Below are 17,082 nucleotides of genomic sequence, written 5' to 3' on the forward strand. Positions count from 1 at the left end.
GCGGGGCCTGTTGGGTGAAGGAGCAGAGCGGCCGGAAGCGCGGAGGGAGCCGCGGGATGGACCGCAGGTGAGGCCGATCGCTCTTCCAGGGACTACAGGAGGCTGGGGAGGACCAACGGCGAGAGCAGCACAGCCTAGGACGGGCTGGATACGGTCTGGAGTCGCTAGGGCTCCACCGCACTGGAACTACAATTCCCAACATGCTCCACAGCCGTTGGCCTCTCCAGCCGTAGCCGTTAGCATCCCGGGGGTCCCCTAAGAGTCTTATGTTCCTCTCTGAGTGGGCCCCAAGGAATTATTGCCTCTAAAGGTGTCCAAGAAAGGCTTGAGATCTGAATTTCTTCATTTTGAAATGGCCCCCAGACACGCCTGGGCGTTGTCTTTGAACTTTCTCGCGGAGGCGGAGCCCAGTGGATCCTGGGGCTTGTAGTCCATCTACCCTTTGCCTTCGTGTCCCCCAGGAATGTATGGGAAATGCTCGGTGATATAATCCAGCCGCGGTTCTTTCTTTCTTTCTTTTTTTTTAAGACAGAGTCTCTCGCTCTGTTGGCCCAGACTGGAGTGCAGTGGCACAATCTTGGCTACTGCAACCTCTGCCCCCGGGTTAAAGCAATTCTCATGCCTCAGCCTCCCAGGTAGCTGGGACTACAGGCACCTGCCACCGCGCCTGGCTAATTTTTTATATTTTTAGTAGAGACGGGGTTTCGCCATGTTAGTAAGGCTGGTCTCGAACACCTGACCTCAAGTGATCCACCCGCCTCGGTGTAATCCCAAAGTGCTGGGATTACAGGCGTGAGCCACCACGCCCGGCGAGCCGCGATTCTTAACCTGAACTCCACTTCGCAATCACCTGGGACGCTGCGGAAAAGACACGGAGGCCCAGCCCCACTAATAGATATTCTGATTCTGTTGGTCTGGAATGGGAACCGCGCGCCTGTAACGTTGAAAAGCCCCTCCTAGACTGGATCCAGGGTTGAGAACCACCGGCTGTCAGTTCCTGAGTTGCTCCCTGTTAAGACTGCTCCAGGGGCGGGCTCCCAGGACTCACCCTTCCACTGTCGATATCCTGAATGTGCAACGGTGCTTCATGGAAATGACAGTCCGTCTCCTCCAGGAATCTATGGGAATTGTCTGGTTCTGCCCTCCTCTAATGTCCCCCTCCCCAGGGCTGCGGCGAAACCACGTGCTGCCTGAACCCCACTTTCCTCTTGCAGCCTGCCAGTTTTCTCCATTCAAGATAGTCCCTTTGGAGATGCGCCCCTGGGTCGAAGCCACTACTGGCCATCCCAGAGCCAGACCTGGTGTCCCAAGGTGAGGACACCCCTCAAAGAGTGCTGAGTGCCAGCCCAGTAGCAAGAGAATGACCTTTAGAGGGTAGGAAGACATGTGATGAGAGATAGGGATGAGAGATTTAAGAGACAGCCCCTTGTCCCCTCCCCACGGCCCTGCCCTTGTCCCCCTCTCTACCACCTGGATTCCCCATCTGAGCCCCCATCACACTAGGTTGTTATCATTACAGGATGTGTTTCCTCCCCTCTGGACTGAGACTTTGTGTGTGTCCTGGTTCCCCTGCAGGGATGACCCATGAGACCTCACACTTTTTCTTCTTGTGCTCTTCCCTGATCTTAGACCCTGAGCCCATCCAGGTCTCAGAGATCCAGGCTCCCACAAGCTCCCAAGGCTCTAGCCACAGGTCCCAACTCCCCTGAGCTGTTTGAGGAGTCCTGGCCATCCAGTTCAGGGACCCCCTCCCTGCCCAGCACCACTGAGGGACAGATGTGGGCCTCCCCAGCACCCACCCTGATTGACAGCGGGGACTCCGTGGTGGCCAAGTAAGTACCAGCAGCCCTGGGGGAAAAAGAGGCTTTGGGTTAGAGGGAGGGAGAAGGCATGCAGTAATAATCATCATGGCCAGAGCTGTTTCTGCAGCACTCTTTTAGGACCAGGCAGTTTATGTGTGTTAAGAACTCTGGTGCTAGACTGCCTGAGTTCAAATCCCAGCTCTGTCATTTAACTCTCTGTATGATCTTGGCCTCAGTTTCTTTATCTCTTTTTATTTATTTATTTATTTGTTTAGAGACAGGGTCTCGCTCTGTTACTCAGGCTGGAGGTCAGTGGTACAATCACAGCTCACTATAACCTCAAACTCCTGGGCTCAAGCCGTCCTCCCACCTCAGCCTCCTGAGTTGCTGGGATTACGATGCATGCCACCACACCCAGCAAACCTCCCACCTTGGCCTCCAAAAAGTGCTGTGATTACAGGCCAGACGTACCATGCCCAGCCTCAGTTTATTTATCTCTAAATTGGGTGTTTTGTTTTGTTTTGTTTTTGTTTTTGTTTTTTTGATGGAGTTTCACTCTTGTTGCCCAAGTTGGAATGCAGTGGCATGATCTCGGCTTACTGCAACCTCTCCCTTCTGGGTTCAAGTGATTCTCCTGCCTCAGCCTCCCAAGTAGCTGGGATTACAGGTGCCCACCACCACACCTGGTTAATTTTGTGTATTTTTAGTAGAGATGGGGTTTCACCATGTTGGCCAGGCTGGTCTCAAACTCCTGACCTCAGGTGATCCACCTGCCTCAGCCTCCCAAAGTTCTGGGATTACAGGTGTGAGCCACTGCCAGGCCTAAATTGGGCATATTAATAGTACACATCCCCTAGGGCTGTTTTGAGCTTTCAGTGAGTTACTATATATAATGATCTCTAGCAGTGCTTCTCACATAGTCACCACTTAGATTTGTAGAATACAGGTTCAGCTGCTGTAACAAAGAGTCCCAAATTAATTATGGCTGAAACAAGATAGAATTTATTCCTCCCTCACCTGCAGTCCAGGCAGAAGCCACCAGGGATGATGTGGCAACCCGTAGTTGAGGTGTCAGGGACACAGGTTACTTCTGTCTTGTTGCTGTCCGAACTCTAGGCCGTTGCCCTTTCCTTCATGGTGCAAAATGGCTTTCAACCACATCAGCTTTCCAAAATCACATTTCATACCCTGTTTGTCAAGAACTTAGTCACGTGGTCACAAGGCTACAAGGGTACCTGGTAAATATAGTCCATAGGAGACTGGCTGTGTGCCCAGCTAAAAGTTACATTCCTGGCTGGGCACAGTGACTCATTCCTGTAATCCCAGCACTTTGGGAAGCCAAAGTGGCAGGATCCCTTAAGCCCAGGAGTTCCTGACCAGCCTGGGCAACATGGCAAGACCCCGTTTCTACTAAAAATACAAAAATTGGCAGGGCTGCAGTGGCTCACGCCTGTAATTCCAGCACTTTGGGAGGCCAAAGTGGGTGGATCACCTGAGATCAGGAGTTTGAGACCAGCCTGACCAACATGGTGAAACTCCGTCTCTACCAAATTAGCCGGGCGTGGTGGTGCATGCCTGTAATCCCAGTGACTTGGGAGGCTGAGGCAGAAGAATCACTTGAACCAGGAGGCAGAGGTTGCAGTGAGCCAAGATCACGCCATTGCACTCTAACCTGGGCAACAAGAGCAAAACTCCGTCTCAAAAAATAAACTAATTAATTACAAATAAATAAATAAATAAAAATACAAAAAGTAGCCGAGTGTGGTGGCATGCACCTGTGTCCCAGCTACCCAGGAGGCTGAGGAGAGAGGATTTCTTGAGCCCAGGAGTTGGGGGCTGCAGTGAGCTATGATTGCACCACTGCCCTCCAGCCTGGGTGACAGAGCGAGACCCTGTCTCAAAAACAGTTATGTGACTATATAAGAAAGAAAAGCAGATATTGAGGGATAGCTACCAGGCTCTGCCATGGTGCTTGGTAAACGTTGGCTGCTATAATTATTCTTATTATTATTTGGCTCTCCTCACTCCACTCACCTCCTATCCCCTGATGTTCACAGGTATATAAACAGGTTCCGCCAGGCTCAGCCCACCAGTCGAGAGGAGCGCCAGCCTGCAGGCCCAACCCCAGCTGACTTTTGGTGGCTGCAGTCTGACTCTCCAGACCCCAGCAGTCAAAGTGCAGCAGGTACCTCTTTCAGTGCCATCCACTACTCCCACCCCTAAACCTTTGCTGATCAATGCCCCCAGCAGCCACTCCTCCTGGCCCTCATACCTCAACTGGGGCTTCTCAGCAGGAGCCAACAAACCAGAAGGAAGACCCCATACAGCTGTCCCTACTGCGGTCAACGTGACCAGTGCATCCCATGCTGTGGCTCCCCTTCAGGAAATAAAGCAGGTGACATCCCCATTCACTCCCTCCCTTGGGTGCCTGAACTGACAACACCAGCCCTAGGACAGAATTAGAAGATCAGGAGCAGTGGCTCACACCTGTAATCCCAGCACTTTGGGAGGCCAAGGTGAGAGGACTGCTTGAGGCCAGGAGTTCAAGACCAGCTTGGGTGACATGGTGAGATTCTGCCTCTACTAAAAAAAAAAAAAAAAAGAGAGAGAGAGAGAGAACCAGGTGTGGTGGTATGTACCTGTAATCCCAGCTACTTGAGAGCCTGAGGCTGGAGGATGGCTTGAGCCTAGGAGTTCAAGGCTGCTGTGAGCTATGATCATGCCACTGCACTCCAGCCTGGGCAGTAGAGCAAGACCCTGTCTCTATTTAAAAAAAAAAAAAAAAAAAAAGCCTGGGCACCGTGGCTCATGCCTATAATCCCAGCACTTTGGTAGGCTGAGGCAGGCAGATCACGAGGTCAGGAGTTCAGGACCAGCCTGACCAACATGGTGAAACCCCGTCTCTACTAAAAATACAAAAATTAGCCGGGCGTGGTGGTACACACCTGTAATCCCAGCTACTCAGGAGCCTGAGGCAGGAGAATTGCTTGAACCCGGGAGACGGAGGTTGCAGTGAGCCAAGATAGCGCCAGCGCACTCCAGCCTGGCGACAGCAAGACTCCATCTCAAAAAAAAAAAAAAAAGAATTAGAGCTGATCCCCATTTCAAGGAAGCTAAAACAGAAAAGGAGGATTTGCTGGCTAATGTAATTGAGAAATCCAAAAGTAGATGTTTCCAGATATGCCTGGATCCAGGTGTTTGAATAATGTTGGGAGAGACCCAACTCTCTCTGGGCTCCATGCCCCCCCTTTTTTTTTTGATACAGAGTCTTGCTCTGTCACCCAGGCTGGGGTACAGTGGCGCCATCTCAGCTCACTGCAACCTCCGCCTCTCGGGGTCAAGCAATTCTTCTGCCTCAGCCTCCTGAGTAGCTGGGACTACAGGTGCATGCCACCACACCCAGCTAATTTTTTTGTATTTTTTTAGTAGAGATGGGATTTCACCGTGTTGCCCAGGCTTGTCTCGAACTCCTGACCTCCGGCAATCCGCCCACCTCAGCCTCCCAAAGTGCTAGGATTATAGGCGTGAACCACCAAGCCCGGCCTTTTTTTTTTTTTTTTGAGACGGAGTCTTGTGCTGTCATCCAGGCTGGAGTGCAGTGGCGCGATCTCGGCTCACTGCAAACCCCGCCTCCCAGGTTCACGCCATTCTCCTGCCTCAGCCTCCCGAGTAGCTGGGACTACAGGTGCCTGCCACCACGCCCGGCTAATTTTTTTTTGTATTTTTAGTAGAGATGGGGTTTCACCATGTTAGCCAGGATGGTCTCCATCTCCTGACCTTGTGATCCACCCACCTCGGCCTCCCAAAGTGCTAGGATTACAGGCATGAGCCACCGCGCCCGGCCTTCTTTTTTTTTTTTTTTAATTAGATAGGGTCTTACTCTTAGGCTGGAGTGCAGTGGCACAATCATGGCTCACTGCAGCCTTGAACTCTTTGCAACCTTCGCCTCCTGAGTACCTGGGACTACAGCATGCGCCACCATGCCCAGCTAATTTTTTGGTTTTTTTGTAGAGATGGGATCTTACTTTGTTGTCGAGGCTGGTCTCGAAGTCCTGGGCTCAAGCAATCTTCCTGCCTCGGCCTCCTAAAGTGCTGGGATTGCAGGCGTGAGCCACCACGCCCGCCTCTGTGCTTCTCTTTTTTTGGGCTCAGTCCCAGGCGGGCTTTCCCCTCACAATAGCCAGGATGGTCCTTGGGGTCTCTAGGCTCCCATGGTCCTGGCTCAGTGACTCCAGTGGGAAGTGGGGGCTTTTCGAATTGCTCCATCAGAAGCCCCAGGGCTCACTGTGATTCACTCATCCTTGAGCCAACCACTGTGAACCAGAGGATAGAATGCTCTGATGAAGCAGCTCTGATCTGGGAGGTGGGATCCATCCTCCTCCAACCATGATTTGTCCATGAAAGGTGCTAATCCACCGGGCGCGGTGGCTCACGCCTGTAATCCCAGCACTTTAGGAGACTGAGGTGGGCGGATCACCTGAGGTCGCGAGTTTGAGACCAGCCTGACCAACATGGAGAAGCCCTGTCTCTACTAAAAATACAAAATTAGCCGAGCGTGGTGGCGCATGCCTGTAATCCCAGGTACTTGGGAGGCTGAGGCAGGAGAATTGCTTGAACCCAGGAGATGGAGGTTGCTGTGAGCCGAGATCGTGCCATTGCACTCCAGCCTGGGCAACAAGTGAAATTCAATCTCAAAAAAAAAAAGAAAAAAAAAAAGGTGCTAATCCAAAGGGGAAAACTGGGTCTCTCCTCCCTGAGGAGGAGGAGCAGATCCTAAGCTGGCATGTGAGGTTACCAAGGGCAGTACAACCTGCATTCCAGGCCCTCTGTTTAGAACCCCCTTCCCAGCAGCCTTTGGGTTGGGGCTGGCGTCTGACCCTGTCACCCTGCAGAACCTCCACACATGGAACTCATCCCTGCTGGACCTGGAGACGCTGAGCCTACAGAGCAGAGCTGCCAGGCTGCTCAAACGCAGGTGCCCGCACCCCTGCCCCCATCACCCTTCCTACTGCGGCTCCACGTGGCCCAGGTCTCGAGACCTCCATTGCCTCACTCCTGCCTTCTCCCTGCAGCAAAGCCTCCATCTCCTCCTCCTCCTCCCTCAGCCCCAGCGATGCCAGCACTTCCTCATTCCCCACCAGCTCTGATGGCCTCTCTCCCTTCTCGGAGACCTTCATCCCTGACTCCAGCAAGGGCCTTGGCCCCAGGGCACCCGGTAAGGGCTGAGAGGCAAAGACTGAGGGCAGCCTGGGTGCAAATCCCAACTCTGCCACTGACCAGCTATGGGACTTTGGGCCTCTCTGGGCCTTGTTTCTCCAGCTGTAAAACAGGGATAAGGCCAGATGAGGTGGGTCAGGCATGGAGGCCGAGGCGGGCAGATTGCCTGAGCTCAGGAGTTTGAGACCAGCCTGGCCAATGTGGCGAAACCCGGTATCTACTAAAAATACAAAAATTAGCCACGCGTGGTACATAATGGTGCATAGTGGTGCATGCCTGTAGTCTTAGCTACTCAGTAGGCTGAGGCAGGAGAATCACTTGAACCTGGGAGGCGGAGGTTGCAGTGAGCCGAGATTGCGCCATTGCACTCCAGCTTGGGCGACAGAGAGAGACTCCATCTCAAAAATAAATAAATAAATGGTGCCATCATAGTCCAATTGCTGGGCTCAAGCAATCCTATAACCTCAGCCTCCTGAGTAGCTGGGACTACAGGCATGCACCACTATGCCCAGCTAATTGTTTTTATTTTTTTATTTGTTGAGATGAGGGTCTCACTATGTTGCTCAGGCTGATCTCAAACTCCTGGGCTCAAGCGATCCCCCCACCGCCTTCGCTTCCCAAAGCACTAGGGTTATAAGAATGGGCCATTCGTTATGCCCAGCTGGTTGTTGCAGTTTTGAATAGGGAAGCCAGGGAAGGTGACCAAGATCTGATGGATGTGAGAGAATGCACCGTGCGATACATGAAGGAAGAGCATTCCAGGCAGAGGGAACGACAGGTGTAAAAGGCAAAGCCTTCGCCTTTTACCGGGAGAGAGGTGCAGCCAAGGGAGGGTTCTTAAGTACGAGAGGCCTGGTCTGACTCAGGTATTCACAGGCTCCCTCTGGCTGAGAGTAGGGAACAGATTTGGAGGAGAGTAGAGAGACCAGGGAGGCTATTTAAGAGTCCAGGTTGGGTGAGTGGGGCTGGAGCAGGGTGAGGGCTGTAGCGGGTGGGGGAGTGGGTAGATTCTGGGGAATATGTCTTCTGGTCACTGCTGTAACTCCAGTGTCCAGAACGGCTCAATAAATATTTGTTGAATGAAACCAGGCACTGTGACTCACGCCTATAATCCCAGCACTTTGGGAGGCCCAGGTGGGATGATGATGGCTTGAGCCCAGGAGTTTGAGACCAGCTTGGGCAACAAAGCAAGACCCTGTCTCTACAAAAAAATAAAAATTACCCCCGTGTGGTGGCACACGCCTTTTGTCCCAGCTACTCAGGAGGTTAAGGCAGGAGGATCGCCTGAGCCCAGGAGGTCGAGACTGCAGTGATCGCACCACTGCCCTCCAGCCTGGGTGACAGAACAAGACTATATATATATAATGAACAAAGACTTGAATGATGACAGATGGAGAAGACCAGGAGTGCTCGCTCCCCTGACTTTGACCCCTTCCCCTCTTCCCACCCCAGAGAGGAGCTGGGACAGTATCTGGAGAGCCTGTCTGAGTAACCCCCTGCACAGTTGGAGGGCGTGTGTGCAGGCTGTCCTGGGGTTGCTGATCTCCCTGGCCCCTGCCTCACCCTCTCCTCTCTACCTCCCCCTACAGCATCCCCGGCACCAGCCCAGGCCCAGACCCCCACCCCTGCTCCAGCCCCAGCCTCCTCCCAAGCACCCCTTCGGCCAGAGGATGACATTCTGTACCAGTGGCGGCAGCGGCGGAAGCTTGAACAGGCTCAGGGAAGCAAGGGTGACAGAGCTTGGGTGCCGCCTCTGACCCCTGCCCTCCGCACGTTGGTGAGCCGAGGGAGGGAGGAGCCTGGGGGGAGCTGGAGGAGGGGCTGGGTCTGAGGGGGACTGAGGACCCTCCACCCTCTCTCTCTCTGTCTCAGATCTCTCTTATCTGTCTACAGACCTCTCCTGCTCCAGTGGAGACCCTCAGTTCTCTGGGGACCCAGCCTAACCATGTCCCACTGTGGAGCAGTGTGGCCCAGCCTGGTCCACCAGAGGCCTTCTATGTGGAGAGGCCTCCTTTTCCCTCAGTGTCCTCTCCACACATCTTTTGGGCCCCCAGCTCCCACGGGTTCTTCTGGGCCCCACAGTCTGGGCCTTGGGTATCCCTTGGGGCTGTTCCTCCCACGCAGCAGGCCTCCACCCTAGCACATCTGGGCTCTACCCTCGCGCCCCCGGCTTCCCTGGCCTCCACCCTCGAACCCCCGGCCTCCACCCCAGCTCCCCTGGCCTCCACCCTTGCACCCCCAGCCTCCACCCCGGCTCCCCTGGCCTGTACCCCTGCACCTCCAGCCTCCACCCTCGCATCCCCAGCTGTCCCCCAGGGCCTGCCCATCCCTGACCCAAGCAGCTGTGCCCAGCCTAAGAGCCTGGGGCCCAAGTCTCGGAGGAGCAGAGCCCCTCGCCCAGAGGCTGCCGAGCAAGTCCCTGCAGCTGGCCAGGGACCTGGCCCTCAGCTCAGGGGTGTCCTGGGCCAGGTAGTGGCAGCTCGGCTGTTCCCTGACAGCCTGGAGGACACGCCTCCTCACTTCGAGGGCCCCCCTCCACCCAAGGCTGGATCTCCGAAAGTCCAGGCCACACAACCCCAAACCAAGGTCACTCCCCCTCCATCTGAATCCCAGTGTCGGGCCAAGGCCGAGTCTCTGAAAGCCAAGGCCTTGCCGCCCGCAGCGGGGTCAGTGATACGGAAGAGCGAAGCCACTCCTTCCCCTGGAGCCTGCCTGCAGCCCGAGGTCCCACTCTCTCCAGCTGAGCAGGCAACCACAGTCAAGGCCTCGCCGCCAGCCTTCCAGGTGGGGTCTCCGGAGGCCCTGGCCCCGCCCCCGCCCGCTGCTGACCACGCCCCCTCGGAGGCCCTGCTTGCCCAGGCCGCCCTGCTGCTGCAGGCTGCAGAAGGTGATGCCCGCGCCCTCCTGGATGTTGGAGGCAGGCCAGCCCCCTAAGAGGCCGGCCCCTTGGAGCTCATTCTTTTCTCCCCGGCCCAGACTCCGACGGCAGCGAGTTCCAGGACGATCCCGTGCTGCAGGTGCTAAGAGCCCATAGGGCAGAGCTGAGTCGGCAGAAAAGGTGACCGACCCTCCATCCCCAGAGTCTATGACACTGGGCCCCGGAGACCTCTGAGACCCGGTTAGGCATCCAGCCCTCCTCATCCCCTGTCCCAGCAGTCCGTCCACAGCCCCAGATTCTAAGCCTGAGCACATACCCCAGCCTCTGCTCTCCCGGCCTTTCTCCAGGGAAGCGGATGCCCGATTATCGTTCCTGTTGGACCAGGCTGAAGACCTGGGATCTTGGTCCCCTCCAGCCGGGTCGCCCCCTAGGTCCCCAAGGAGGCTGCTAAGAAGGGAAGGAGATTCCCTGGAGGCCAGAAGACTTTGAATTGTACAGATTCTATTTTACCCAGTGAGGCTCTTTTTTTTTTTTTCATACAGTTACTGGTTATCTGTGAGAAAGGGGTTGTTTGGAAAGGCCAAGGGGTCATGCCAATTTAAGGAAATGCCCCCCATCCTCCGCTGCCCCATGGCTCTGCCCTGCCCCCCACCCCTTCCTGACCACGGAAACAAGATCTCCTTTCTGGTTATATCTTCCTTGGGGCAGAGGGAGTTTCAGACAAGACTTCTGGCAAGACTGGGACCCACCTTATCTGGCTTCACTCAGGAGCCCTGGCTCAAATGGACCAAAGGACTGCCCTCCACGGAGGAAGCTACTAGGGTCATCAGAGTGTTGGATGATGGTCAGGCTATAGCCCACACATGCTTGAGCAGCAGCAGCATCTGGTGCAGCTGACCCCTCCCTCCTTGAAGCACTTTCTCTCCCTGCTTCCAGCCCTTCTCTCTGCACCTCTCTGGTCAGGCCTAGTCACTAGCCCAGCATGTCAACTTTGGCATGACCCAGGGCCATGGCGTTGACATCTCTATCTGCACCCACCCATAGGTGCTCTTGTCTAGCTTAATGACTCTAAACCCCGTCTCTATTCTGATAATCCTCAAATTTCTGTCTGTAACCTAGACCTGGCCACGAAACCTTGGGCTCCTACCTCATTACCATTTCTACCCAAGGGTTTAAAAGACATCTCAAATTCCATAGGTCCTAAATGGAGTTTCCAATCTTTCCCCCTAGGCGTGCCTCTCCCCAGCTTCTTTTTTTTTTTTTTTTTGGATGGAGTCTAGCTCTGTCACCCAGGCTGGAGTGCCATAGTGTGATCTCGGCTCACTGCAAGCTTCGCCTCCCGGGTTCACGCCATTCTCCTGCCTCAGCCTCCCGAGTAGCTGGGACTACAGGTGCCCGCCACCACGGTCGGCTAATTTTTTTTGTATTTTTAGTAGAGACGGGGTTTCACTGTGTTAGCCAGGATGGTCTTGGTCTCCTGACCTCGTGATCCACCCGCCTCGGCCTCCCAAAGTGCTGGGATTGCAGGCGTGAGCCACCGTGCTGGGCCCCCCCTCCCCAACTTTCTTCGGCTCTGTCCTTTGCCGCTCAGACCAAAAACCTTAGAGTTGTCTTTGACTTCTGTCTTTCCCTTCCACCCACAGTTAACCAGGAAATCCTGCCATCTCCGCCTTTATTTTATTTTATTTTTTGAGATGGAGTTTCACCCTTGTTGCCCAGGCTGTAGTACAATGGCATGATCTCGGCTCACGGCAACCTCCACCTCCCGGGTTCAAGCGATTCTCCTGCCTCAGCCTTCTGAGTAGCTGGGATTACAGGCACCTGCCACCACGCCCAGCTAATTTTCTTTGTTTGTTTGTTTGTTTTGAGACAGAGTCTTGCTCTGTCCCCCAGGCTGGAGGGCAGTGGCACGATCTCGGCTCACTGCAACCTCTGCCTTGCAGGTTCAAGCTATTCTTCTGCCTCAGCCTCCCTAGTAGCTGGGACTACAGGCGTGTGCCACCACGCCTGGCTAATTTTTGTATTTTTAGTAGAGACGGGGTTTCACCATATTGGCCAGGCTGGTCTCAAACTCATGACCTCGTGATCCTCCTGCCTCAGCCTCCCAAAGCGCTGGGATTACAGGCATGAGCCATCATGCCTGGCAATTTTTTGTATTTTTAGTAGAGACGAGGTTTCACCATGTTGGCCAGGCTGGTCTCGAACTCCTAACCTCAGGTGTCCCACCCACCTCAGCCTCCCAAAGTGCTAGGATTACAGATGTGAGCCACCGCACCTGGCCTCCACCTTTAAAATCTATCCAGAATTCAACTGCTTCTCCCCTTCTACTGCTCACACCTCAATCTAGGCTGTCATCACCTCCTCTCTGGACTGTTGGAAAACTTAACGGTTTTTATAAACCTGATATTCTTTGACACACTTGCCATCAAGAGGCAGAGTCTATGTCCCTTCATCTTGAAACTGGGCCCCTCAACAAATAAAATGCAGAGGAAGTGATGCAGCTTAACTTCTAAAGTGCAGTTAGAAAAGATGATTTCTCAGCTGGGCATGGTGGCTCACGCCTGTAATCCCAGCACTTTGGGAGGCTCAGGTGGGCAGATTACTTGAGGTCAGGGGTTCAAGACCAGCCTGGCCAACATGGTGAAATGTCTCTACTAAAAATACAAAAATTGGCCAGGCATTGGTGGTGGGTGCCTGTAATCCCAGCTACTCAGGAGGCTGAGGCAAGAGAATTGCTTGAACTCAGAAGGCAGAGGTTGCAGTGGAAAAAAAAAAAAAGATAATTTCTCTCTCTTTCTCTCTCTCTCTGACACTTGCTTTAGAGGCTACATTAAAAAAAAAAACTAGTTGCCATGCTGGGGAGGGGTTTGGGTTACACAGGTGTATGCACTTATGAAACTTAGTGAAGTGTGTGAATTTCATTGTATGTAAAGTTTACCTCAAAAGAAAATATTGAACGCCAGTTAAAGATACGCCTGTAATCTGACTTCTTTGGGAGGCCAAGGCGGGAGGATCACTTGAGGCCAGGAGTTTGAGACTACCCTGGGCAACACAGCAAGACCTGTCTCTACAAAAATAAATAAGTAAATAAATAGCCAGATGTGGTGGCACACGATTTGCAGTCCCATTACTAGGGGCGGGGAGGGGCGCTGAGGCAGGAGGTTTACTTGAGCCCAGGAGTTCAAGGCTGTATTGTAGTGAACTAAGATCATGCCACTGCACTCCAGCCTGGGCTACAGAGCTAGACCCTGTCTTTAAAAAAAAGAAAAGAAAAAAAAAAGTATGTACACTGAAATATTTAGGGAACAATAAACCAATGTCGACAATTTATTTTGAAATGCATCCAGAGATGAGTTGGATTGATGGATAAATAGTGTAATAGGTAGATGTGAGATAAAGCAAATACAGCAAAGTGTTCATGGTAGGATCTAAGTGGCGGATATGCGGGTGTCCACTGTAAAATTTTTCAACTTTGCTGTAATTTAGAAACTTTTCATGGCCGGGCGCGGTGACTCATGCCTGTAATCCCAGCACTTTGGGAGGCCAAGGCGGGCGGATCACGAGGTCAGGAGATCGAGACCATCCTGGCTAACACGGTGAAACCCCGTCTCTACTAAAAATACAAAAAATTAGCCGGGCGTGGTGGCGGGCGCCTGTAGCCCCAGCTACTCGGAAGGCTGAGGCAGGAGAATCACTTGAACCTGGGAGGCAGAGCTTGCAGTGAGCCGAGATTGCGCCACTGCACTCCAGCCTGGGTGACAGAGCGAGACTCCGTCTCAGAAAAGAAACTTTTCATAATAAAATGATGGAGAATATATGATTGGGGTTGTTTTGATATCTGCATTTACAAAATGGAGGGATAAGATGGATTTCTAGTAACTTCTGTATGTCACATGGTAAATATAATATTTGTTTTCAACCTTTCTTTCTTTCTTTTTTTTTTTTTTTTTTTTTGAGATGGAGTCTTGCTCTGTCACCCAGGCTGGAGTGTAGTGGTGCAACCTCGGCTCACTGTAACCTCTGCCTTCCAGGTTCAAGTGATTCTCCTTCCTCAGCTTTCCGAGTAGTTGAGATTATAGGTGCATGCCACCTCACCTGGCTAATTTGTGTGTGTGTGTGTGTTTTTAGTAGAGACAGGGTTTCACCATGTTGGTCTGGCTGGTCTCGAACTCCTGACCTCATGATCCACCTGCCCCGGCCTCCCAAAGTGCTGGGATTACAGGTGTGAGGCACCGCACCCGGCCTGTTTCTAACCTTTCTAAGCAAACCATACATTTAAATGAAATCAGAGTGGGCACAGTGGCACAGGCCTGTAATCTCAGCACTTTGGGAGGCCAAGGCGAGCAGATCACTTGAGGTCACGAGTTAGAGACCAGCCTGGGCAATATAGTGAAACTCTGTCTCCACTAAAAATTAGCTGGGCCTGGTGGCGGGTGCCTGTAGTCCCAGGTGCTCAGGAGGCTGAGGCAGGAGAATTGCTTGAACATGGGAGGCGGAGGCTGCAGTGAGTTGAGATGGTGCCACTGCACTTCAGCCTGGGCAACAGAGTGAGACTCCATCTCAAAAACAAACAAACTAACAAAAAAATGTAATTGACAAGAAAAATAGCTGTTTAGATATAAGGAGAAATAAAAGATACTATAGTAGCAGAACCTGATCTAGCTGGGTCACGGGTGGGGTCTAGAAGCATTCCTGAGGAAGTTACACTTAAGCTGAGACAGGTAGAAATTATCTAGTTAACAAAGGGCTGTCCTAATTACTCTAGTTGGATAACCGCTCCCAAAACTTAGTGGCATAAAACAATTATTTTATTATGCTCATGGATTCTGAGAGTCAGAGGTTTGGACAGGGCTCATATGGGGACAATTTTTGTCTCCTCCATGATGTCTGGGGATTCACCTGGAAAGACTCAAAGGTGACTTGATAGACTTGATGGCTGTGGAGTAGAATCCTCCAGAACTTCTTCCGTGGTCTTCTCCCAGTCTGACTGGGACTATTGACTAATGCCTATACATAGCTCCATTGGCCTGGGCTTCCTCAAAGCATGTCTGCTTCAGCATAGTCACACTTCGCATATGATGCACCATGGTTCTACAGCTCATTCCAGTGGACGAGAACATTGGTCAAGAAGCTGCATTGCCTTTCATCACATAGCCTTAGAAATCACCGTGTCACTTCCACTGTTTTCTATTGGTTGAAGCTATCCTAGTCCCACCCAGATTCATAGAAAGCAATCATAGAGTCCGCGTCTTGATAAGAAGAGTGTCAGAGAATTTGCAGCTGTTTTAAAATCACTGCAGGACCCCATTCTCCATGATGTGATTATTACACATTGCATGCCTGTATCAAAACATCTCATGTGCCCCCTCAATATATATACCTAAATATACCTGTTATGTACCCAGAAAAATTAAAAAATAAAAAAAAAAATCACTGCAGGGGTTGATGGGGAAACACTAGACAGAAGGAATATCGTGTGGGAAATCCCTGTGATGAGAGTGAGGTCAGCAAATTTAGTACATAAGTAACTGCACATTCACCTCTCCCTCAGCACTCCCTTTCACCAGCCCTTGCTTAATTATTCTCCATAGAATGAATCACCTTCTAATATTTTTTTTTTTTTTCAGACAGAGTCTTGCTCTGTCTCCCAGGCTGGAGTGCAGTGGCAAAATCTCGGCTGACTGCAACCTCCGCCTCCTGGGTTCAAGCAATTCTCCTGTCTCAGGCTCCTGAGTAGCTGGGATTACAGGCACACGCCACCACACCTGGCTAATTTTAATATTTGTATTTTTAGTAGAGACGGGGTTTCAGCATATTGGCCAGGCTGGTCTCGAACTCCTGACCTTGTGATCCTCCCGCCTCGGCCTCCCAAAGTGCTGGGGTTACAGGCGTGAGCCACTGTCCCCAGCTTTTTTTTTTTTTTTTTTTTTTTTTTTTTGAGACAGAGTCTCACTTCAACACCTAAGCTGGAGTGCAGTGGCGCGATCTCGGCTCACAGCAAACTCTGCCACCTGGGTTCAACCCATTGTCTTGCCTCAGCCTCCCAGGTAGCTGGGATTACAGGCACGCCCGCCGCCACACCTGGCTAATTTTTGTATTTTTAGTAGAGACGGGGTTTCTCCATGCTGGCCATGCTGGTGTCGAACTCCTGACCTCAAGTGATCTGCCCGCCTCGGCCTCCCAAAGTGTTGGGATTACAGGCGTGAGCCACCACGCCTGGCCTAATATTCTATATTTTGTTTAATGTTAATTTTGTTCATTGTCTTCTCCCAGTAGCTTTTGAGCTCCAATGTGGGCAGGGTATATTTTCTCCTGGTTTGGTTGTTGATGTATGTACAAATTGATTAGAGTTTGAGTGAATGAATGAATGAATGAATGAATGAACAGACCAAGACCCTCTGAGATGAGAATTTGTTGAGGGCATGACTAAGGAGAGACCCTCCTGTGAAGGGCGTTATTACAGTGTTATCTGGGCATGCTCAGTATTAGCAGGCTCCATTGGGAATGGCTTTATGGGGGGCATAAGCATGATCTGGCATTTCCCCCTAAGCATTTTCCTAGAAAAAAAAAATCAAGGCTGGAGATTGGCCCGTAATAAGCAGTAGAAGGGGAAACAAGAAAATGTCCAGTGGGCAGGGGAGGCCAAATCGCAGAAAGCCTCGGGTTACGTCCTAGGCAAGGTATATGAGGCAACGAGAAACGTCCATGGGCGGAGCGTCCTCGGCATTATGTGAGCGGGGTCGGGATCAGGACTGAAAAGGTGAGACTTGGGACTGGGACTTTGAAAAGCTGCTTAAGGAACTGGGCACTGCTCTGAGGCCGTGGGAGAATCCAATTAAGACTATCAGGGGCTGGCTGGCGTGGTGGCTCACGCCTGTCATCCCAGCGCTTTGAAAGGAGGCTGAGGAGGGAGTATCTCTTGAGCCCCAGAGATCAAGACCATCCTGGGTAACATAGTGAGACCCCCATGTCTAAAAAAAATTAGCCAGGCGTGGTAGCGCACGCCTGTAGTCCCAGCTACATGGGAGGTATCGCTTGAGCCCAGGAGGTTGAGGCTGCAGTAAGCCACGATTGCAGGACTGCGCTCCAGCCTGGGCGACAGAGTGAGACCCTGTCTCTTAAAGAAATAAAAATAAAAAAGTCAGAAGAATGGACACTGGGAGTGGACGAAAGGTAGGGTCCATT

The 17,082-nt window shown here is 52.2% G+C and overlaps 1 protein-coding gene across 29 annotated transcripts, besides 4 other annotated features; it reads left to right on the top strand.

Moving 5' to 3' along the window:
* PROSER3 (proline and serine rich 3) lies at nucleotides 17-13,007 on the top strand. 29 transcript variants are annotated; one of them, NM_001395458.1, is made up of 12 exons: nucleotides 17-67; nucleotides 1,215-1,311; nucleotides 1,630-1,832; nucleotides 3,860-3,987; nucleotides 4,094-4,197; nucleotides 6,695-6,777; nucleotides 6,875-7,017; nucleotides 8,609-8,796; nucleotides 8,913-9,906; nucleotides 9,996-10,077; nucleotides 10,245-10,410; nucleotides 10,606-13,007. In NM_001395458.1, exons 1-11 carry the CDS (start codon nucleotides 57-59, stop codon nucleotides 10,384-10,386), a joined length of 2,175 nt encoding a protein of 724 aa, NP_001382387.1. In that variant the 5' UTR covers nucleotides 17-56; the 3' UTR covers nucleotides 10,387-10,410; nucleotides 10,606-13,007. The 29 variants fall into 29 exon arrangements, with proteins under 29 accessions (NP_001382387.1, XP_047294219.1, NP_001382382.1 ...); XM_047438263.1 differs by lacking the exon at nucleotides 10,245-10,410 and having other exon boundaries at nucleotides 1,167-1,311; nucleotides 8,892-9,906; nucleotides 10,440-13,007; NM_001395453.1 differs by having other exon boundaries at nucleotides 1,167-1,311; nucleotides 6,908-7,017; nucleotides 10,245-13,007.
* Nucleotides 22-261: an enhancer, noted in NCBI's record as "active region_14500". NCBI's record gives its function as "activates an Ori minimal core promoter by ATAC-STARR-seq in GM12878 lymphoblastoid cells {active_cell/tissue: GM12878}" and the evidence as "EXISTENCE:reporter gene assay evidence [ECO:0000049][PMID:35858748]".
* Nucleotides 302-361: an enhancer, noted in NCBI's record as "active region_14501". NCBI's record gives its function as "activates an Ori minimal core promoter by ATAC-STARR-seq in GM12878 lymphoblastoid cells {active_cell/tissue: GM12878}" and the evidence as "EXISTENCE:reporter gene assay evidence [ECO:0000049][PMID:35858748]".
* Nucleotides 8,893-9,744: an enhancer, noted in NCBI's record as "H3K27ac-H3K4me1 hESC enhancer chr19:36257953-36258804 (GRCh37/hg19 assembly coordinates)". NCBI's record gives its function as "activates a minimal SCP1, AML or CMV promoter by ChIP-STARR-seq in naive H9 embryonic stem cells {active_cell/tissue: H9 hESC(naive)}" and the evidence as "EXISTENCE:reporter gene assay evidence [ECO:0000049][PMID:30033119]".
* Nucleotides 16,897-16,956: an enhancer, noted in NCBI's record as "active region_14502". NCBI's record gives its function as "activates an Ori minimal core promoter by ATAC-STARR-seq in GM12878 lymphoblastoid cells {active_cell/tissue: GM12878}" and the evidence as "EXISTENCE:reporter gene assay evidence [ECO:0000049][PMID:35858748]".

This window comes from Homo sapiens, chromosome 19 (genome assembly GCF_000001405.40).
Source record: "Homo sapiens chromosome 19, GRCh38.p14 Primary Assembly".
Classification (NCBI taxonomy): domain Eukaryota; kingdom Metazoa; phylum Chordata; class Mammalia; order Primates; family Hominidae; genus Homo; species Homo sapiens.

Bases quoted from the DNA above. Each gene is read 5' to 3' on its own strand.
- PROSER3 (XM_011526528.2), top strand. The intron at 4,198-6,694 runs GTGACATCCCCA...GTCACCCTGCAG, and splicing joins CCCTTCAGGAAATAAAGCAG to AACCTCCACACATGGAACTC. The intron at 6,778-6,874 runs GTGCCCGCACCC...TTCTCCCTGCAG, and splicing joins GCCAGGCTGCTCAAACGCAG to CAAAGCCTCCATCTCCTCCT.